This window comes from Homo sapiens, chromosome 2, assembly GCF_000001405.40.
Source record: "Homo sapiens chromosome 2, GRCh38.p14 Primary Assembly".
NCBI lineage: Eukaryota > Metazoa > Chordata > Mammalia > Primates > Hominidae > Homo > Homo sapiens.
Window position 1 is genome coordinate 229,616,536 of NC_000002.12, and position 23,731 is coordinate 229,640,266.

Genomic DNA, 23,731 nt, shown 5'->3' on the forward strand with positions numbered 1-23,731 from the left:
AGACAGTGTGTATGTCCCTCCTTCCTCTTTCTGTCCCCAGAAACATTGCTGTAGAAGAACACTAACTGGGGAATCAAGAGAACAATGGCACTCTCTATCCACTTGTGGTCATCATCTCCACTCTCTGGGTGTCACGGGTGAAGTGAGGGAGCTGTCTCAGATCTAGATCATGTCTAGGGCCCTTGGCAGATCCACCTTCTATAATGCCATTAATCTCTAATACCCTGGGGTGATGCCAGGACCATCTCTGGGCAAAAGGCTCACATAGGCTAAGTGAGCATTCCTAATGTATCTTAAATCATGGTGTTTATCTGGACACGTGGCTTGTCCTGGTCTCTGGACTGAGGCCTTTGGCATGCTTATGCAGATGGGAGGGTCTGCTACAGGTTGCTCTGGCCATGCTGTGACAACGTGCCCTGGAAAGGTCCTGAATATGGCTAATTTTGGCAGACACCAGAGCGCATCCACTGAAGAAGAACCGAAAGATGAAAAGCCGGGATTTCAACCTTGCATTGATTTCAAAACATGCAAAATGAATTCAATAAATAGGAAATCATTTATGACACTTGATTTTATTTATCAAAACTTAACATTAGCTCTACAATGAGTAAAAATCAGGATGGAGAGTATGGTAACTAAAATAAGAAAAAAAGAGCTCCCTTTCTTGATTCCATAACAGTAAATGTACATTCCAGAACAGAGATTATGACATGGTTATATTTCCAGTATTTAGATCCAATTTATTCAAATAATTGCAACCTAATTGTGTGGAGCTATTTTAAATACTGATTTGCTTTGCTTCCCATTTAAATTAAAACCTCATCACCTGTGACTATTATACCAAATATGTTCCTTATAATTTAGACAATGAAATATTAATTATAATTTTGAAAATTAGCTTTGCTTAGATACAACTGTTCTCAATAACTTTTAGTCTTCTGAAAAAGGCTCTTAAAGACTGATCCACTAAACACATTGGTTGTATCCTTTTCTATTTCAATTTTCTAACACACAAAAAAAAAGTTTATATTTTTTGCTGATATTGTAAGTCATTTATTTCCATACTTCATAAAGAAGACAAAGGAAAAATAGTTTTTTTGTTATAAGCATGAAAAGAGTCCCAGGTCAGAAATTCAGGCTGGGCATGGTAGCTCTCGCCTATAATCCCTGCACTTTGGGAGGCCAACACAGGAGGATCACTTGAGCCCAGGAGTTCAAGGCCAGCCTGAGCAACATGGCAAACCCCATCTCTACCAAAATACAAAAATTAGCTCGGTGTGGTGGCACACACCTGTGGTCCCAGCTACTTAGGAGGCTGTGGTGGGAGGATCGCTTGAGCCCAGGAGGTCAAAACTGCAGTGAGCCAACATCATGTCACTGATTATATGATTGCACTCCAATCTGGGCGACTGAGTGAACACTGTCTCAAAAAACAAAAAAGAAAAGAAATGTAGTCCCCTGATCTTTGAAAAGTCACATGACCCCTGGGCTTTTGTTGCTACATCCATCCAATGGAGATAACCCCCCTTTTCCTGCAAGAGGCAGGAGCTGTGCCCAATGGCCTTCAGAGCCTGCCAGCCCTATATTCTCATAGATACATAATGTAGGCAATAGAGCATAATGGCTGTTTTTTTAATCACAGGTACTACTGGCCAGGAAATAGTGAATCCAAAATTCCCGTAAGAGTCTGGAGGTAGGTGGAAATACATAGTGTTATTACACAAAAAGCTTCATGCTGTGAAGGCCCCACAGGAGAAGACACTGTCAGTCTAGAAAGGGGATGACAACAGGCCAACACCATTCGTTTGAATAAGAGTTCTTCCCAATTCCTCCCTGTGAAAAATATAGTCAGGAAAAATGGAACCGCACTACATGTTTTTTTATTATGCTTTATACTATGTGGCTCCAGAAGGTGGGCTCCATAATTCTCAACTCAAACTCATGTCTTCATGAAGGCCTATTTCCAAGGGCCTCTCACGCAGCATGTGATGTAGCTCGCCACGCATCAGCCTCGCAAAGCTGGTGCCCCGGACGCACAGCCCACCCCAGTGAATTCTGCCTTAACAAGGCTTAGTTCTTCCACCAGGGCACCAAGTCTCAGCTGCCGTCCAAATTGTTATGTTGCACATTTCATACTCTATTTGTGAGTAGACTAAAGTCAATAAAATTAGTAAATTGGCTGAATTTAATAATTTTTAGGTATGCCAATTCAGTAACTGTTATATAAGCTAAATAAAATGATATTCCTCTTTTTAAATTTCCTCGCTTTTATTTTAATGTCTCTTAAAGTGGCCTCATGACTCAATCAAAATTTTACATAGCTGAACACACAGTGGCTTATGTCTGTAATCCCTTTGGGAGGCTAAGGGAGGAGAATCACTAGAAGCCAGGAGTTCTAGACCAGGCTGAGCAATATAGCGAGACTCCCTCTACACCCACTCCTGCTGCCCATCTCTACAAAAAATTTTAAAATTAGCTGGGCACAATGACTATACATGTAATTCTAGCTACTCAAGAGGCTGAAGATCGCTTGAGCCAAGGAGTTCGAGGTCACATTGTGTCACTGCATTCCAGCCTGGGGGACAAAGTGAAACCCTGTCTCTAAAAAAATTTATACACACACACACACACACACACATACACACACACATAAAATAATTTACTTACCTAGCATATGCCACTGAACAAAGCTAAAATATCCTAAAGTAGGTAAAATTTATTGAATAATTATGCACTGTATGCCTGGAGAAGGCCTATGGTTAGGATATTTTATTTTCATTTTGAACACGTTATCTAACAAAATTATCTAGTTGCATAGCCCAAATAAATTAGAAGCTACACATTAGAAAGAAAAGTTTTTACTAAAAACCAGCTCAGTGATGTAAGTGCAGAGAGACATCTGGCTTGGAAAGAAGCAGGAAAAATATATGAAAGGGAGCAACATGGAGTCAAGAAGTTGGCCACTGGAGGCCACTGGATGGAGTTGGGGGTGAGACGGCAATGTCCTAGGGCTTCTGTTCAGTTACTGCCTGATTCTAAATTAATGCCCAAGATAATGCCCTTCAGTTACAACAGAGAGGGTAAATTATATTCTGTGTGCTCTGCTGGTACGTATAGTGTACTGAGGGACCATTTCTTAAAAATGACTGCAAAGAATAATATCAGAATTTAAAGAATAAACTTCAGGTATCTGGGAAACTCATTTAAAGTAATTTATCAAATGCTAGGTAAAGGAGCTGGTACTATATTTTAAATAATTAAATAATAGTGAATATAAACTTACTACATTAAATAATAGTGAATATAAACTTACTACAGTGATTTCTAGTTGGATAATGTTTACATCTATTATTTCGTCTCTCACCCCACGGGTCATTCTCCACCTGCACTACTATTCCATCCTCACCTTTGTTTTTGAACAAGGAAAAGCCTTGTGAAATCAAGCAATTAAGTATTCTTTTATTATTATGAAGCTGAGAGGAAGTGAAAAATCACCAGGGTGAAGTTTCTTCGCACTTGAGAAAGCAGATTGATGAAGCTAACATGGGATGCACGGGAAGTTTGTTCAGAACCAAAGCGACTCGGATGGGCACCCTCTCAGCCTGTGGGTGTCGCGGAAGAACGGGATCACCCTCCCCTCCTGGGCCGGAATGTGATATGAAGAGAGCATCGCTCCCGAGAGACACAATGGATAGAAATAATAATGGAAAGGAAATAAATTCAGAAAGCAATTAAGGAACTGTCAACAGAAAGGGCTGAGCAAAACCAGATATCAAAATTACCATTTAATCTTTTTTCATGTATCTTTTTGGCTCAAATTACTTTCATATCAGAGTTATAATTATGGATATCACCACAAGCCATTAGCCTCACAGTTGGCACTCTCCTTACCCCCAACAAATTAAATGTCAGCCATCGGGCTTCAGCCATCATCACTCCTTCAAGAAGGGCTCCTGTCAATCACCTCACTGCGTGTGATGAGATGAGCCGCAGCCTCGAGGCAGAAGCAGCCCTCTGCGGTTTGGGGTGCTCGGTAGCTCCTGCAGACACAAACGTTCTCTTTTGCTTTCCTGATAGAGTTCCCTGCAAATCCTCAGAGAAACACCAACCCCACACTGGGATGGGGCGTCAGTCCCTTGAGAAGTGTTATGGGCTGAATTGCATCCCCCCAAAATCCATATATTGAAGTCCCATCCCTCGGTATGTCAGAATGTCACTGTATTTGAAGACAAAGTCTTTAAGGGGTGATGAGATGAAAAAGAGGCCATTAGGGTGGGGTCCTGGTCCAACAGGACTACTGCCCTTAAAAGGAGGAGTCACACCAGGGATGCCCATGCCAGGAGGAGAGGCCGTATGAGGACACAGTGAAAAGGCAGTTGTTTGCAAGCCAAGGAGAAAGGCCTCAGGAGAAACCAAACCTGCTGACACCTAATCTCAGACTCCCAGGCTCCAGCACTGTGAGAAAATAAATATCTGCTGTTTAAGCCACCCGGTCTGCGGTGCTTTGTTATGACGCCTTAGCTAACTCATACAAGAAGTTTCTGCGTGTTTCCAAGAGTAAACAAGTCCTTAAGGACATCATTACTAAGTGCTCTTACTAAGGGTTTTAACACTGCAGATATTAAAACAAAACAAAAGTGATAAATAATAACTACATGAGTACGCCTACCATCAGAAATTACTGCAATGACTTCCTGTTTCCCCACAGTTTCTCATTGCCCTATTTTGATCATTCCTACATACCGTTGTCAAAGTAGAATCTTCCTAAAGCACAGCGTTGAAAATTGTATTCACCTGCTGAGAAAAGTCCACTGGATTCTCATTGACGACCAAATGAAAGTGTCATATGAGGCCCTGGAGAGGCTGGCCCCGATGCTACTTCCCAGCCATGCCCACTGCAATACTTCCCACACTTCCCACCTGCTCCCAGCCCTGCCCACCACAATACTCCCCACACTTCCCACCTGCTCCCAACAGGAGGATCTGAGGCCACCTGGATGCACCTGGCCTCACCCTCACTCCTTGCCCTTTGGTTTTTTTTTTAACCTGGAACCATGGGCCTCTTGAGCTCAGAAAGCCTTCCCAGCCATGCCTACTACAATATTTCCCACACTTCCCACATGCTCCCAACAGGATGATCTGGGGCCACCTGGATGCACCTGGCCTGACCCTCACTCCTTGCCCTTTGTTTGGTTTTTCTTACTTGGGCCTTTTGAGCTCAGAAGGCTCCCAAGGGGTCTCAGAATCTATTGAAATTGCATATAAAAGGGCCGGGCGCAGTGGCTCACGCCTGTAATCCCAGCACTTTGGGAGGCCGAGGCGGGCGGATCATGAGGTCAGGAAATCGAGACCAACCTAGCTAACACTGTGAAACCCCGTCTCTACTAAAAATAAAAAAAAATTAGCTGGGCATGGTGGCAGGTGCCTGTAGTCCCAGCTACTCGGGAGGCTGAGGCAGGAGAATGGTGTGAACCCAGGAGGCGGAGCTTGCAGTGAGCCGAGATCGCGCCGCTGCCCTCCAGCCTGGGCGACAGAGCGAGACTCCGTCTCAAAAAAACAAACAAACAAACAAAAAAAAGAAATTGCATATAAATAATTACTCCTCTCTATACCTGACCTCTTTCCAGAAAGAGGGCTATAATTCTCATCAGATTTTCAAAGAGCTTGACAGCATTGAGTTTTACCTGAGCCCTGTACACCTGGAAAATAGTGATGGTTGTGAAATTGCCATCCCTTTGTATTCCAGGAAACAACTTACTGCAAAGAACCACCCTTCCCCATATGACTTAGATAAGACTCACCAATGACCCCTTTGACCCCCAAAGGCCAGACACAAAACCCTCAAATTCTCATAAATGAATAGCTGAAGCTTTGTCCCCATTGACCCATCTGAGCAAGATACCTGCTAATGTGACTTAACCAAGCTTGAGTCTTTTCTGCCCTGCGGGTCTTTGAACTTGATCCCCCCTCAGCCTGAGTCAGCACGGGAATGCAGAGTAACCTCCTTAGGAGCCACGGACTGTGTTACAAGCTGAATCGTGTACCCCCAAAAGAAGATTTGTTGATGTTGTAATCCCCAGTACCTCAGAATGTGGATTTTTTTGGAAACAGGGTCTTTGTGGACATAGTTAGATATGATGAGGTCATACTAATTAGTGTGGGTCATGGATGCCTGCATGACTGGCTTCCTTATAAGAAGAGAAGAAGAGACAGAGACACAGAAGCTGGAGACAGACAAGGGAGTGATCCATCCATGAGCCAAAGAATGCCAAGAATTGCAGGCAACACCAGAAGCCAGGAGAGAGGCTTGGAACAGATTCCTCCAAAAGGAAACAATCTTGCCAACATGTTGATTTCAGACTCCTGGCCTCCAAAACTGTGAGAGAATAAATTACTGTTGTTTAAGCCACTGAGTTTGTGGCACTTTGCACAGAGGCCCCAGGAATCTACTACAACCAAGGAAAGACATCTGGTCAACCGTTGGTTTGTGCCACCTGCTCATCCTTACTCCTCCACCCTAGGTCTTTCCAGCATGTTTAATCCTCCCTACAAAAGAAAGTTCCTTTCTGCCTGACCTTTGAGACTCTCGCAGACCTCATGGTGGGAGCATTCTCCCTATTGCGCAATAGTCCCCTCCTCTAATTGTAAAAGCTCCCCCTCGCCCTACGACAATCACCGCTTTCGATGAAGTCTCTCCTTACCTAAGCCCGGGCTGTTTTTTTCTTTGACAAGCTCTATGGTCCATAAGTGGTTAAGAACCAGTGCTCCTCATGAGCTAATCTCCACCCACCTTCTTTGCAACTTACCTTAGCTTCCGCCATGCTGCCTGGCCATTTCCCCTCAAATCCTTGCCTGCTCCCCCTCCCATCAGCAGGAAGGAGCCTTTCCAAGTCTACCATTGGTAAAGGGATAGTGTGTGTTCCCCACCCCCATACCTACTTGTTTTCCAAGATCCCTGCCCCCAGCCCAGGCAGCCGGGCATGAGCTACTTGTCCTTAGGGGAGGCCTGCTACTGGGAGCCCGAGAAGGCAGGCACAGAATCCTGGCATTTGAGTTTCAAAACCACAATAAGGAAGAAGACAGAAATTGTTGGACAAGTCCTTGATCGCTACTGCAGACTACAGAAAGACTCCATGGGCTGAGGCTGGGAGGTGGGCACAGAGCTGCTGTCATTGGAGTGAGCACTGTTGTCACCAGCATCAGGTGAGTGGGGACCTATGGATATCTGGTCCCACTGCAGTGGGTGCTGCCTTAGGGCATTGCTTCCCATCCCAGAGCCAAGGAACCCCCAGCTCCTTCCACCTCTGCTTCTCTCCCTGCTGCACACATTCCTCTCTAAGAATCACATGCTTCAATGCTTAAAGGAAAGTCCTAAACAGATGTCCCATATTATCCATGAACTGGGACAATCAGGCCTCACGTGAATAACCAACAGCCATGGTGGGGCTTCACGGAATCACAGAGGTCCTGGGTTGGAATGGACTTTAAAAGTCTTAAAATCCAGCTCCCCAGCCACCCCAGCTGCTTCACAAAAATTTTTCAGACAGTGTTTATAAAAGTCTCTTGAGCAAGTGAAAGAATTTGTTGCAGACACAACAGAAAGCTGGGGTCAGCTAGTTGTTCCTCCTGAGCACCTGCTAAAGAGATGCATCAGGAAAATGAAACAGCAGGGAAGGCAGGTAAGAATATAACAAAAGGAAAACACAACTCTAAGTTAAAAGTGAAGTTAAGAAAGAGAAAAAAGCAGGAAGATGGAGTAAGCCACGAGAAAACTTAAAGGTTCCTAAATCCTATGCTAGCAGCTCAAATCTCTCATTAACAGACAGGAAATATTCTGCAGCAAGACACCTACTAGAAAAATACTAAAGGAACCTAAAAGTCCGTTCTTCAACATTTTACCCATTTTCTCTTCCTTGCACTAAAAAGTAAAAAGGTGAGTCTCTGGAACAATATAATAAACTAAAAAAAAAATAGTTAAATAATGGCTTTAAGAGACTTTCCAAACTTTTCTCCAAAACCAGAAATACACTAATGTTTTCCTACCTCCAGCAAATTAACAGGGCATAAAATAGTTCCTGTCTTAAATAGTACTTAAATAGTAGCGTGTCCTGATTTCAACAAGATCAGGTACGTTTGCCTGCATGCAATCAGCAGTTTTCACCAATGCTAAAATAACCCGAAATCGTTTTTCTCTCTGCATTTTTTAGACTATGACATTCCACCCTCACTCCCAGGCAGTCTTGACAGAGCCAGAGTTGAGCTACATAACACCTTTGTATTTGTGTACATTTCTGGAGGCTACACAAATTATCATTTCAAATCATCCCTCTTAATTTTCCTGCTGAGGTTAGCTCAATGGACTCTGGGACTCCAATTTCTATTACTTCTTTTTTAGTCAATTTCCTCAGATTTCAAATATGTAAGCAAAATCTCCTAAAGTATTTCTACATGAGGGTGAGGAATTCGCTATTATTTCATTTTACTCTTTATATTATTTCATTTTATTATTTTGTTTTATTATATATTGAAGATAAATATGAGAAGATTTTATAGGATGATGGTATTTCTTTAAAATAAACCCCTAAGCCCAAGGCTAAATAGAAATTGCGATCAAATCAAGGAAAATCACATAAAGCAAATTCAGAAAAATCTGCTTCCTCAGTGTAGCTCTCTTGTATTTTACAATGTAGCTCTCTTGTATTTTATTTTCATGGAAAATCACCGGGGGCTGGGAGGGGTGGCAGGAGGAAGCTCTCCCTCTTCCCAGTTGTTCTTCTTTCCATCTAATCCCACACTTTCCCTTCTGACACCTGCTTCCCGATTCCACTCCCTTACTGCCACCTTCTCACATCCTTACCAACATCTACTGACACCTCCCCCATCAACCCAGCCTCCTCCACTGCTCAGGTGAACAAAGCTGTCATGGCCAGAATGGAGCATGAAGGCCCGGTCACCGAGTCATATCAAAGGCCAGAAAACAAGGGAGACGGAGGGGAGCGGGCTCAAGGGCCAGAGGAAAGCTCCACTTCTGCCTAGGTAGGATTTAAGCTCTAGAACCAACAAAGAGCCTCTTATCAAAAGCTTACAGATTATATAAGTTGGGCACATTATCAATAGGAAACATAATTATGGAAGAAATGAATGTGAGTTTGAATGAAGAGGAGAGCATAGGGGTAGGGCAGGAAAGTTGTCCTAAGTATTGGAAACCACTTACCGTGAGCCTTGGTAGCAGGAATGCAATAGGTGGCATTGAAGGACAGCAAAAAGGTCCAGTTTGGCTAGACTGGAGGGAGAGTTGAAAGAGTTCACAGGTATGGAAAGGCCAGAAGGACTGTCTACTATGCAACTTTGTTTTTGTTGTTTTTGTTGTTGTTGTTGTTGTTTGTTTTTTGTTTTTTTTTTGAGATGGAGTCTCGCTCTTTTGCCCAGGCCGGACTGCAGTGGCGCTATCTCGGCTCACTGCAAGCTCCGCCTCCCGGGTTCACGCCATTCTCCTGCCTCAGCCTCCTGAGTAGCTGGGATTACAGGCACCCACAACAGTGCCTGGCTAATTTTTTGTATTTTTAGTAGAGACGGGGTTTCACCGTGTTAGCCAAGATGGTCGCGATCTCCCGACCTCGTGATCCGCCTGCCTCGGCCTCCCAAAGTGCTGGGATTACAGGCGTGAGCCACCGTGCCCGGCCTACTATGCAACTTCAATGACATAGGTTGGAGTAGAAGTTTCTTTTGCATCCAAAGGCTAAGGGGGAAATATTGAGTGAAGGAGGAACGCAATCCGCTGTTCAAACCATTACATGCAACTCCGAACAACTCATCAGAAACTAGGATGTATCTCATGATCTAAGAAAAATTTGTACAGACTAATTTTTCTTTAATTTTAGAAATAGGAAAGATAGACAAAGCACAAATTTAGCAGTTTCTCCCATGTGCTTATACAACCATTATTCAAACATATTACCAGAAGTAGTTACAGAGAATCGGGCAATTACAGAGAATCAATGTTCCTTTCATTGTAAGGGCCTAATGAAAGGGCTGGAACATGCTGAAACTATAAAAGAAGCAACATTTTCCTATACCCCATCTGCCTGTTTGGGAAATAATACCAGCTTTTCCCATATAAAGTAAATTAATAAATCAATACAACCAACAAAAAGGCAGCATTGGTAGGAGATATTTTAATTGAGTCATCCTAAAGTCTGGACTTGTTTAAAGCCTTCTCACTTTAAATAAATATCAAGTCATTTAAGTTTTGAAACTGACTTTGAATTCAGTACATACAACATATTGTCCACACAGTAAAGAAGAGAGCATGCAGAAATGCCTGTTTGAAAATAAAAGAAATATCCAACTCAAGTCACCTTTAAAAAACCACCAGGGCATTTTAGAGCTGATGAGAATGACAGAGATCATGGGGTCGAACCCTGTTATCAATCACGTTGGAAAACTGAGGTCAAGGGATGTTAATAACTCAACCCAAGTCTCAGAGCAGGCAACACATTTTTCTTTTCACTGAAGTGCATGGTCCCAATGAATTTATCAGAATGTCTCTTTGTATGCAGTGTAAATCTTTATGGTACCTCAACTTGTACTTCTAGTCCCCTTCCAATTAGCCACCAGAAACAATATCTAGTGCCAGCCTCAGACAAAGACCCTGTGAGATATCCACACAAATGCTTCACTCTCTCAATTCTTTCCTCACAATAAGCACCTACAGATGCAGACTGCGAATATCTGTAATTTAATAAACACACATCACCCTGTATTTTATAAATATAACTAGTTACAAGATAGAAAAGGAAAATAGCTCAACAGGTCACCTAAAATCAGATAGTTCTGTTTATTTCACAACTTTAGACATAACAGATTTCAATTAATAAAGACTTTTCCTAATTTTTATAAAAGCTTAACCACTTGGTACCCAACCTTTCTAGACTTCTGGTTTAGTGCCAGCTCCAGAAGAAAACAATTTTTAAATATTTGAAGCAACTAAACAGGTATTTACCACCTATTAACAATGAACAAAACCAAGGAAGGAAATAAAGACACAAAGATTGCATCAATGAAACCATGATCAGGATGCCATGTGGAAGAAAGAGAGGTCTGATTAACAAGCGAAGCCTTATAGATGGCAATTTGTTTGCTGAAAAAACAAGACTCCCAGTAAAAACAAGCTGTGACCAGCAAGTTTACTGTAAGCAGCAAGTTGTAAGTGTGACTAGGGAAGGAGAGAGTCCCTCACAAGCAGGAAATGAGAGAAGAGCTAGGAACCCCAGGCAAGTTGGAGGTAATAAAGGGATTAGGCAGTGAAATTGCATCTATAGCCCCAGGGGCACTGCAGTGGTGAGAGGCAGCAGGCGGTATTTTCCAACATGGCGCAACAATGGTTCCCACCACACATCCTCTTCTGCTGAGTGACATTGCCACTTTCCAATCAGGAGGTAGAGTCCTTTTCTCCCCTCTCTTACACATGGGCAGGCCTGTGGCTGCTCTGACCAATAGAGCAGGGTAGACCATCATGCCAGGTCCAGGAAGGCCCTCGCCTGGTCCAGTAGCTACTACTTCCTGCCTCTTGGAAGACAGCTACTGTGTTGGAACTGAGGCTATCCAAAAACCACCATGCTGGGAGAAGCCTACACCACATGGAGATGCCCTGAAGCATGAGACACCGAGGTGAGCGGCAGAGGAGGGGAAATAGATCAAACAGTACCAGGGCACCAGCTGTAGGAAGGAGGAAGTCATCAAAGTCATATATCCACAGTTTCAGGCACTCCTGCTGGTGTCTCATGCACCAGAGACAAATTCCTCAACAGAGCCCTTTCCGAATGTCCAACCCATAAAATTGTGAGCAAAATAAAATGGCAGTTTCAGACAACTAAGTTTTGGGGTAATTTGTTACACAGAAATAGACACCAAAAACACGGGAACACGGTAGTAACAACTAAGTGTTGCAGAGAGGCCATTTTCAACTGATTTTGAACGACTGGGCCTTTTGTCCAAAAGATATCTTATAAGAACCCCAAAATATTCAACAGAAATAACCAGAGCTGCTCTGACGCGGTGGACAAGGGTGTCCAGAATGTCAAGGAGCTCTGTGGTGGAATGAAGGATGATCCTAGGGCCAGTGCACTGACCATGGTAACGCTACAGAGAGGACCTGCAATCCTCACCCAAGAAGTCATCACTGCAACCCAGCTTCCTGAGGCAGTGTCTAAATGTAAGTCAACAGCTCGTAATCTTACCCTCTGCAGCCAGAGGGAACCTAGTTCTAACATCAAGAGTTGGAACCCCGGACATCAAAAAGGTACTACCCCTGGTCTAGCCTCTTCTTTGTCTCAGGATCTGACCACTGACGTTTCCATCTTGCAGTGTGACTGCTTCCCCTAACATATTTTCACCCTAATCTTAACATGTGTTTAAAAATACCAACACCCCCTCACCCTGCTCCTTCCTCTTTTCTTCTTCTCTCCACTCACTGTTTTTTGCTCTCAGGGAAAGGAGCAAGAAAAAGAAATGGGACAGTGTTTTGCCTGGTGGTTGGCTGATTAGACTCTGAATCTCAGCTCTGTAGATTGCCATACCAAATTTGCCAATTTAGTAACTGTGCCTCTGTTTTCCAAGCTGCAAATTGGCTGCAATCATCATACAAACCCTGCTCATTGAATTGTAAGACTGAAATGAATTCATATGTGATAGTCAGCACTCAATAAATGTTAGGTCATCATTATTTTTCTAACTAAACCTTAATGCTTTCCAATATTCTAGTAAGGAGGAATTTATAGATAATGCCTGAGATGCACCATAAAGAACAAAACTCTTACATATGATTAGACTTATATAGGTCTCTTTACATTTTACTAAGGAGGACTTACTTAGGTGGCTCAACAGCACTGTAGTCACTATGTGGAGACCTCATTGGGCAGAAATGGTAACGAGAGCTTTCTGAATTGTTGCCCCCATTTGAATCAGCCAAGTTAGCAACTCCAGGGTGCCAGTTTGAGTGAGTCAGCCCTTAAAAGACCCTTGAGCAATACATGGAGTCAAGTGTCTCAGACAGGCAGTCAGCTGTGGGGCTTCCAGTCATCCCAAAATGAAAATGTTCTTATTACGAAGACTTGGAAAATGGCAAACAAAAGAAATCACAATTTTGATTCATTTACCCTGTATCAAAGCATTCACGTTTGAAAAGTCTTCGCTGGGCATTCTGGGACAGCACCCAGAAATGCAGTGAGGTGGCATTCTGAATATTTGTCCCTCTGTGACCGCATCTGTAGGTGACTTTATCTTTGATAGATGGATCTTTAAAACAACATTTATTGTGGTTGCTTCTTGATCATATGCAGTAACTTGGGCATTTTCAGAAAGGGTGACCAAGAAGCATCCAACACAATATTAGAAGGTTATTATGACTGGCAGAAAATATGTCTCAAATTAGGAGCACACAGAATGTGTGCCTCTTTTAGCAATCTCATCTATAGGCACAATCTATTATCCCTAATCATTTTCCAATGTTTTTGTTGGCAGTTTATCTATCTTCTATTTTAATGGATAATTACATAAAAAGCATGTTAAGCTTCAGCAGAATTTATTCATTCATTCAACACCAACTATAAAAAGAGACCCTAGAAGTGTTATAGACTCACAAAAAATAAAACCTTCTGGGCCAGGAATGGTGGCTCTTGCCTGTAATCCCAGCACTTTGGGAGACTGAGATGAGAGGATCACCGGAGGTCAGGAGTTTGAGACCAGCCTGGCCAACATGGCAAAACCCTGTCTCTACTAAAAATACAGAAATTAGCCGGGTATGCTGGCACATTTCTGTGATCCCAGCTACTCAGGAGGCTGAGGCAGGAGAATTGCTTGAACCCGGAAGGCAGAGGTTGCAGTGAGCCGAGATGGTGTCACTGCACCCCAGCCTGGGCGACAGAGTGAGAGACTCCATCTCAAAATAATAATAATAATAATAATAATAATAATAATAATAATAATAAAATCTTCTGGCAGATGTTTAAAATATGTCTCATTTACCCATGGCACAGGGATCGCAAGCTAATATATATATTTGGACAGAGGCTTTTTATTGACAGCATCTCATTTTCTTTTTTAAAAGAAAAATCAACTTTTTAGATTCAGAGGGTACATGTGCAGGTTTGTTACAAGGACATATGCGATGCTGAGGTTTGGGGTATGATTGATCCCATCACCCAGGTAGTGAGCATAGTATCCACTAGGTCATTTTTCAACCCTTGCCCCCCTTCCTGCCTCCCCACTCTTGTAGTCCCCAATGTCTATTTTTACATCTTTATGTCCACTGTACCCAGTATTTAGCTCCCACTTATAAGTGAGAACATGTGGCATTTGGTTTTTTGTTCCTGTGTCAATTCACTTAAGATAATGGCCTCCAGCTGCATCCATGTTGCTGGAAAGGACATGATTTCATTCTTTTTTATGGCTGTGTAGTATTCCATGGTGTATGTGTACCATATTTTCTTTATCCAATCCACCACTGATGGGCACCTGGGTTGATTGCATGTCTTTGCTATCACGAATAGCACTGTGACAAACATGAGTATATGTGTCTTTTTGGTAGAATAATTTATTTTCCTTTGGGTATACACCCAGTAATGGGCTTGCTGAGTCAAATGGTAGTTCCACTTTTAGGGAAAGCACCTTATTTTATTTTCATACCTGCAGGGAAAAAAAAAACATTTAAAGACATTGGCTGGCCTGGAAAAGACCAGCTAACTTACGCATGGGGCTTGCCCCAGGTGCAATGTTTGTGGCTACAAGTGTTTCCTGATCATTTTCCTGTACCCCAGTGATTTCTTGGAGCAGAGGTTTCTTTGAAAGCCATCATAGAGTCCCTAGAAGAACTCTCTTCTACTCTGAGCTCCCCTCCAGCTTCTTCTTAAAATATAGAAAGAAGATGTCTGGAGGAAGACACTTCACATTGCTGATGGAGCTTTCTTGGGGAGTAGAATTAGATCAGAAGAAAGAAAATGGAAGACTTCTTACTTTATGTACTCCTGCATACTGAGCATTATTATTTTCATAATTTAAAAAATATATATTTTAAGGATTACTGAAACTTTCAGGGCTCTGATTTTCTCACCTGAAAAGTGACAACCCCAGACCATGAACTAAATGATATGAAGATAACACTTCCAGTTCTTAAATTCTGCACCAGAAATGCCTGCTGCACAGCCAGTCACCAGTGCTTCCATCTCCACATCTTCACGAAAGAGCAAAAGAAAAGACATGGAAGTAACTTAATTGCTCAGTGCCTCAGTTTCCTCATCTGCAAAATGGAAATCATAACAGCATCTGCCTCATAGGGTTGTCTTAAGAATTAAACGAGCTAACAAAAGTAACTGGCACACGGAGCTCAAATGTCAGCGAGAATTATTTCCATTATGGTCACTCTTATTACTAATTCTATATCAACCAATAAAATATTCCTGCCAGTATTTTTCCTAACCCAATAAACTCTGCACTACAGAACTTTTAGAGCTAATATAAAGTACTCTTGTCAAAATATAGCGCTGTGAATGTCTCTTTAATTAAAACTTCAGCAGCAAAGGCAGTGCCATTGAACAGAAGATACCACTTTTAGCTGATAAGGATGAGAAGTCAAACATTGTATCACTTCAATACCAGCCAAAATATTATTAAAGAAAGCATTCCAATATCCTAAGGATTCTGGAAACACTGCTTCTAAGAAGCCTGCAAATTCAAAGTTACTCATGTTTTTAATTAACATATTACAAAACATTGAGTAGGAGACTCTGACACATTCAATCTAAAGCTAAATAAACACTAACTATAATATAGCGCTTGCATACTAAGAAACTCAGCAGCTCACAAAGCACATCTTTGTGACTAAATGGAGCATCTTAAGAACTCAATTTCACAAACATTTACTAAGGCTTGTCTCCTTAATAAAGCACTAACTGGTACACAAATATCTATGCTTCCAAAATCAAGATGCAGATTTCATTCATTTACAATCAAAGTTCAGGCAGGAATTTTTGTGCAGGATGGGAGGCTGGAGCAACTCACCAAATAATTATAAATGTCATGTACCAAGGAGAGGATAAGAACATAAAGAAAGTTCTGAAAGAATTACAAAGCAGTACTATTTAGACTGCAGTGTTAACATAGGTAGTCCAGATCACAAAAATATAAATATCAGCCCAGAGATGATATTAATTAGTAAACAAACTAGTATTTGCCACAAAGTGTTAACATTTTTCTCAACTAAAACAATAAGAAAATATTAGGCCCAAATCTTCAAAGGATCTAAAAAGATAATTCACAAAATAAAAGCTCTAGAGTGAGCAAACATGGGGAAAAGCTCAAGTTTACCAGTAACTAAAAATGCAAACTGAAAAAAGATAGCCGCTTTCCCTACTAAATTAGCAAGAATAAATTAATGAATAATTATTATTGTATCAAATGTCAGCAACTGTTCTGTAAAACTGATCTCAACATTACCTATGATGTTGTAAATTGGTACCCTTCTTTAGGAAACCTATGAGACAATAAGTAAATAAGTGACATAAGTAATCTTTAATTTCATAAGAGAAAATCTATAAGTTCAAAGCTGAATGTCAAAAAATGTCTTAATGGTAAATTTCAGGACAACTGAATGTATGACACTAGATAATGGTTGAGCCAGTTCTGGTACAATGACCACGTGGAGTATGGCAACTGTTAAAAAACAGAAGCCCCCTCTAAAACAATACAGAAAATGTAAATAATGGTGTGTTAAGGAAAGAAGCAGGATATAAAATCATTCACCTATCACACTTACAACTTTGTTAAATATTTTGAATATCTCTAGGGAATAAACAAAAATTATTGGAGTTATATTTGGGTCATGGATATTTTTCTCTTTCTTGCTAAACATAATGGTGTTATGCCACCTTATTTTTAAAAATAAAAAATACATTGTGGGAACTAAACAACTAAGATAGTAGAATTTCTTTAGAAAATCTAAAATGAATCCAAAGTAATATAAACAATGATTTAAGATTTTAGCAGACAAAAAATTAAATCCCAAGTATGAAAGGTGAAACAAAGCCACAATGTGAAATCTAGTCAGGCAGGCTGGAACAGAAAGCATAGCTCCTTGCAAGCCTGGGTGAGCATGCCTGTCCAGCAGCAGCCCGTTCAGGGCCTGTTCCCAAGAGCTGGGACATAGTGGACAGCAGGCGCCCAAACCACCCTGTTTCCCGGCACCACTGGGTAAGAGCATCCACATCCAAGAGAGGTGCGCTCCAGCCAGAAGTACATAGAGCAGCGTCTCTGGGCAAGGCGTCCTCCCTCTAGACTCCTTCTCTGAAGGTTCTTAACGCAGGTCACAGAAGCACTATTTTATTCATGCACCTTACAGACAGCCTGAAGCCAAGCACATAGGCAACTGGCTTAGAAAATAGGATACCAGAATATTTATCCAAGTAAAAACACTGTGAAGACTGAGTTTAAGTAGTAAATTATGTAGGCTGGCACCCAGCAGGCTGTGACTTTGTCCTCTCCTAAGGGACAATGACACCCATGCACAGCCTATGGAAATGAGAAAGAAGGCAGCTTAAGGAGGCAGAAGATGAAATTAAATGTAGACCATGGTTGTAACTTTCGTTAAAAATATTGAACAAATATGCATATAGAATAAGCAAAAAAATTATAATAGCTATGTCTGAGTTATGGACTTTTTCCTTCTTTCCTTCCTTCCTTCCTTCCTTCCTTCTTTCCTTCATTCCTTTCTCCAAGCTTTCTCTGAAATATTATCTCATTCTGTGAGGAGGAAATTGAGAGGCAGTGGGTGAAATATCCCAATAAATTCCACTGTACTCTCGCCACACTACTGCAGCATTTCTCACTTAACAAATTTGAGGAAATGATTTTTCTCATGCAGTTACATTGTATTGGGAATAATTCTGAAAATGGTATAATTTTACTTCTGAATTCTAGAAACATATACTCAAAAAAGAGAAAAACAAAAGCATTACATTTTGTAAGGATGTAATTACATCCGGAATTTGCTTTTGGAGCTATTTTGAACTTATAATGTAAGGCTCAAGGAGAAACCACTTTTTCTTAAAAAAAATAGATTGGCATTTAGTGCCATTTCACAGTCTGGGCAGAATTGGGAACTGGGGAATTGCCCGTCTTTTCTGCTCTGGTGGCTTTACAAGGCTGCCGGCCCAAAGGAGTCTGTCATCACCATGGCAACCTGGCTCAGCATCCTCTGCGAGCGGGAAGGAGGGGCTGCCTCCCTTGTCAGGTTCACAGCACCCGGCCACTTGTCCCCTTCTGGCACCTGAAATGCCCTTTCCCCCCACCAATGGAAACCCTTCAGGGCCCAACCCAAATCCTTCTTCCGCGAGGTCTTTTCCTTAACTTTTGAGAACAGCAGTGACCCTCTTCTTTGAACCACATCTAATGACAGCTTGACTGTCAGTTTTTCATCTCAAGCTCCAGTGAGGCTGGTAGCAGTGTCTGTGTTGACACAATTCCATGCAAGGTTGATATTCAGTCCATTTGTTCAAGGCAACCATTCCAATTGTTAACACAGTGAAATACTTCCATTCTTCCATGCTGCCCTGAGCACCCCTCCCTTCCCCTCTCCCCATGCCTGTTCCCTGGATGCTCTGGCTTTTTCCTGGGAACTCCTTCTGTCTCCTCGGCAGCAACCAAGGGGTTCATGCCTAGTACAGCAGGAGACCTCCAGCCCTCTGGCCAGGGTCAGCTCTGACTGGTCAAACAATACCACATGTTAAATGTTCTGACCACGGCCCTTTCTATGGATGCACTAAGGTCCCACAGGAAAAAAAAAAAAAAAAAAAAAAAACTCCCATATTGATTAGCAATGTCTACCAAGGGTACAAAGAGGAAGAGGGGCCGGCACACTGTATGATACTGATCTGATTAGATGTCTGCAGCATTTAGGCTGGCACTTCAGTATTGACACAAGTCTCAATGTCTTTATTCCTCACATGCAGGAAAGGCAACTGAAGGAGGGAAGAGGAGCATAAAGGGAAGAGGAAGTTAGCCCATAGCATAATTGGAATGGTTTTGTATTTTTTGTGAGCAGCCTGCACTGCACAATCAATTGAATCAACTGTCAGTTCAGAAGGAGCCTGATAGTGATCATTTTACTTCCTATTCACAATGTCCATAGGAGCACCATTTCCTAAATATGCTGGGAAATAATCATTATATTAATAACAACAGCAAAAATAGTATTTTGTACAACATTTACCATGTACTGGTAACAAAAGCAAAACAAATATTTTGTGTAGTGTTTGCCATGTACTGGGCACTGTTCTGTGCATGTTATAGGTATTAACTTACTTAATCCTCAAAAAAACTCTGAGGGTTATTTTATAGAAAATATTTTTATATTATATATATTTTTTATATTGTTATTTTAGTTGACGTTTTACAGAGTAAGAAACTGAGGTACAAAAAAGTTAAGTAATTTGGCCATGGTTACAAACTCAGAAAAGACAGAACCAGGATTTGAACCCAGGCCATCTTCTTCAGAGGCCACATTCTCCCGTGGCACACCGTAACTCCTCCAAGGCATTGTTTGCTGGTGCAAACCGTTTGTACCAGCATATCGTACTCAGCGTTTTCCTGACTGAAGCAAAATGAGAACAGCTTCCCAACAAACTCCTGAGCTGCCCAATGCACAGTTCTCCTCACATCCAACAGCTGGGCTCAGTCCCTCAGAATCCCTGAGTCAGAAGCACCCCTGTGCTCCCTGCCCTGGTTGCAAGCCAAGCCAGTGGCACAGAGGTGCCAAGTCATAGGGAAGATAGTGTTCAACTGGCACAAAAAGTCCTATCTGGACCAAGGGGTGAACAGAAGGCACCCTCGAGAAGACAGGATAGATGGGGAAACAGGAAATGCTGAGGAGGGAAAGACAGAGTGCATGAGAGAGTCCCAAATCTAGGAAGGACCTGGTGCAAGTCCTGCGTCTTACTGACTAGGTCCAGAGAGAGGATGGGGCTTGTCCAAAAGCGTAGCTCACTAACAATAAGACTTAACTAAATTTCAAGTTCCTTGAAATCATGAGACTTGAATCACAAGACTTGAAATGTCCCTAAGTCATGTTGCATCAGTACAGCTAACAAGGTATGAACTTGTTCCCCCAAACCAGTTTTCCCCCTCTACTTAGGCACAGCTATAGACTACATTTACCAGACTCCTTTGCAGTTGGGTGTGGTCACATGAATGAGCTAATCAATGGAATGTAAGAGGAAGGCACAGGTACCAGATCCAGGCCTGGCCATACAAACCTCCCTGACTGGCTCCTTCTTGGTCATTCTCCTTCCCACTGACCAGAATGAAACCCCTGTGTGATCTTGAATAAAGTTGCAGAGCTTTCTTTAATTTGATCCCTGAAATGACTGAGTGGAACTGACACTCTCCAAAAAATAAAAATAAAACAAAAATCAGCCATGATCACCTGGAACTGCCCTGGACTACCACTATTCAAGTGAGAAACTTCTGTGAGGAACCATTACAGGTTTGGGTCCATCTGTTTTCTCACCCATCCCACTCTAACTAAGGAAAAGTTCCAGCTGATCTTCCCCAACCCACTCCCATCCCCTCAACACACACACACATACTTACATCTGTCATCAATCATTTAATTCATAAAATGGTAATACAATATCTACCCAACCCCATCAGTTTAGAATTGTTGAATGGGGTATTTAAAGTTACAAAACATAACAAGCTTCCATTCATTCCATTTTGTTTGACAATTAACTATTAGTTTAGTTTGATATTAAATATGCTTTAGTCTTTACTCTTGGTCCATAGTGGTGTGCTGAAGTTGGTTCATTGCCAATTGCGAGGCAATTTTCAGGAATTTTGTGAGCTGTTGTTAAGAGCAAACATTATAAATGTTAAAGTAAGCACTTACATTAAATTATACTAAAAGCAAAGGTAATGCATACTCAAAACCCATCTCTTCCTAAATATTTTACTGCAGTTTATCATCCACACTCTTGAAATTATTGGCATCTATTGTAGCCATAGGATGGAAATTCTATGTAATGGTGCTCTAGCGTGTATCTCTTCCCAACTCTGCATTCAGAGACATCACCTTGGTAGCTTGAAATCAGCTGTATGGGGCATATTTGCAATGTAGAAATTGGCAAAGACTACAAATCAAGTGCGTTTTTTTTCTTTTTGCTGGAGAGTCAGCTGTTAAATATTTACCACTGCTCTAAGGAAAAAGCAGCCTTGAACATCATCCTCTTAATTATTTTCTACAGACATGGAGGCATTTGGCCATTTGTTAATATGGAAATACCATCATGTTTTATTTGTACCTTTTACTTAACTTGGTTTATTTCAAAAATTACCAAGTTGCTTTAAGAAAATTATTTAATATTCCTATTACCATGGAAATAATTGGAATAGATGCCACATAAAACATATTAGTGGAAACTTGAATTCATTATCTGTGTTCTATTCAGAGCTAATGAGGATTTTTCTTCCTTAAATTATGAACAATCCTTTAAAACCAAAGCTAATACGAGAGAGGGAAAAAATTACAGTGGTTTATATATCAATTCTTCCCCAACTGATTTATAGATTTCACGCAATCCTAGTCACAATCCTAGCAGGCTTTTTTATAGAGATTGAAAAAATATTTTATAGACAGTCTAAAATTTATGTGGAACCTCATAAAGAACTTAAAAGAACCAACCATTTTTTAAAAGAATGAGTTAAGAGGACTTAAACTATCTAATTTCATAATTGCAGTCTAGTACAGATTACCTATAGTAATCAAAGCAGTATAGTATTCACCTAAAGGCAGACAAAATAGATCAGTAGGGAAGAGTCCAGAAATAGACACAAATGCATGATTTTCAGCAAAGGTGCCAAAGCAATTTATGGGGAAAGAATACTCTTTTCAACAAATGGTGCGGGACAACTGAATACCCGTATGAAAAACATTCGCTTGGTGCACAAATCTCCTTTTCAACCTGCACATTTTGACATGCAGTGTGCCTGAGTGGAAGGGCAGAAAGAGAGACCTAAAAAGGGTATCTTCCCTCACTATATGAATTTAATTCCAACTAGAAGACACAGGGATATTTTCTGTTCTAATTATTTAAATAAATTGATCAAGTGCAGGACTCATTTATCTACTGGGACCTGCAAAACCTATAGCCAAAAGTCCAAAATAAAAATATTACTTAGAATTATATCCTTTCACTACTAAGACATATAGTCATTTATTTGGGACAAACTACAAAGCAATCTACAAAACTATATCGGTAAAACCCACCTCACAGATTAAGAAAATAAATTCCAAAGAAATTAGGTTCCTAATCCAAAAACACCAAAAGCCTCAAGGCCAGGTCTCCAGGCTTCTGCTCTGCTGCTTGAATCCAATGGGTTTCTCAATGTCTATGACCACCTGGACTCACCTGACGCAGAGCCCCTGGGGAATTCCTATAAATGTGACTCCCCAGTTTTCTGAATGGCAGTGTCTGGGAGTGAGGTTAGGTTTATACCCTGAACACTCCCTTCAGGTGATACCAACACACATCTCTATGACCATACCATGTGGACTCAAAGAAAAGCATTTAGAAACCAGACAAAGCTATGGGAAACCAGCTTTTAGAAATGAGAAAATAGGGTTTTTTCTCATAAGCACCAATTATTTTAGACTGTTTTCCCTCCAACCATTTTATTTGTTTGTTTGTTTTTGAGATGGAGTCTCACTCTGTCACCCAGGTTGGAGTGCAGTGGTGAGATCTCGGCTCACTGCAAACTCCACCTCCCGGGTTCAAGCGATTCTCCTGCCTCAGCCTCCTGAGTAGCTGGGATTACAGGTGTCCATCACCACGCCTGGCTAACTTTTGTATTTTTAGTAGGACAGGGTTTTGGCATGTTGGCCAGGCTGGTCTTGAACTCCTGACTTCAAGTGATCTGCCCACCTCGGCCTCCCAAAGTGCTGGGATTACAGGCATGAGCCACCACTCCCGGCTTCCTCCAACCATTTTAAATATTTTGAAATCTCTTCTTGAAACACTCAAGGACATTCCACAAAGAATAAAAATAATGATTCCTAAATGCATTATAAAACTAAGCTTTTGAGGGTTTATATTTGCATCTGGAAAAATAGCTAAGAGCAATGCTCAGATAAGACTGGGGCTTCAGACCCAATCCTCACAGACATCAAGCAGCTGGCCACCAAAGGACTGGGCCAGGAAGTCAAGATAGGAGCAAAAATCGGCCAGGATGCAGCGAAGAACCCAAGGGCAGGCCCTTGAATGATGATCCAGTGTCGGACTCAGGAGCTCATAGGACTTGCACATTTTCACTGATAAAATAACCCAGAATGCAAGCTCTGGCTTTGTCCTCCAAGGGACAACCCTCCATTTGAACTTGGATCTTAATTACAAGCATATATTTATGAAGGAGCCCTTGAAGAAAAACTGTACTGAGAAAGGGAAACATCAGCAGAAGTCCTTCTCCCATAGCCCCAAATACTGATTTCTTTTCACAGCTTACAGGAGTACTTGTCCTTGCTACTGCACCACTGAAATTATAGCACCTTGAGGAGGCTAATTTAAAGGGTTACAAGACAAAACAAAAACAACTATAAAAGGCTAATATCAGCCCAAGTGTGCTTTCGTGAAGTAAAGTCAACACAATTTCAGCTCTATCGTGGCAGGCCTTCGCCTCCTCTGTTCTCAGC

General features: G+C 41.5%; 1 protein-coding gene across 1 annotated transcript in view, besides 1 other annotated feature; it reads right to left on the bottom strand.

The window, feature by feature from the left end:
* Nucleotides 1–23,731, bottom strand: part of DNER (delta/notch like EGF repeat containing) — a 356,927-nt gene that overhangs the window by 258,907 nt on the left and 74,289 nt on the right. The gene's annotated exons all lie outside the window — the stretch shown is intronic.
* Nucleotides 6,952–7,451: an enhancer, noted in NCBI's record as "H3K27ac hESC enhancer chr2:230488203-230488702 (GRCh37/hg19 assembly coordinates)". NCBI's record gives its function as "activates a minimal SCP1, AML or CMV promoter by ChIP-STARR-seq in naive H9 embryonic stem cells {active_cell/tissue: H9 hESC(naive)}" and the evidence as "EXISTENCE:reporter gene assay evidence [ECO:0000049][PMID:30033119]".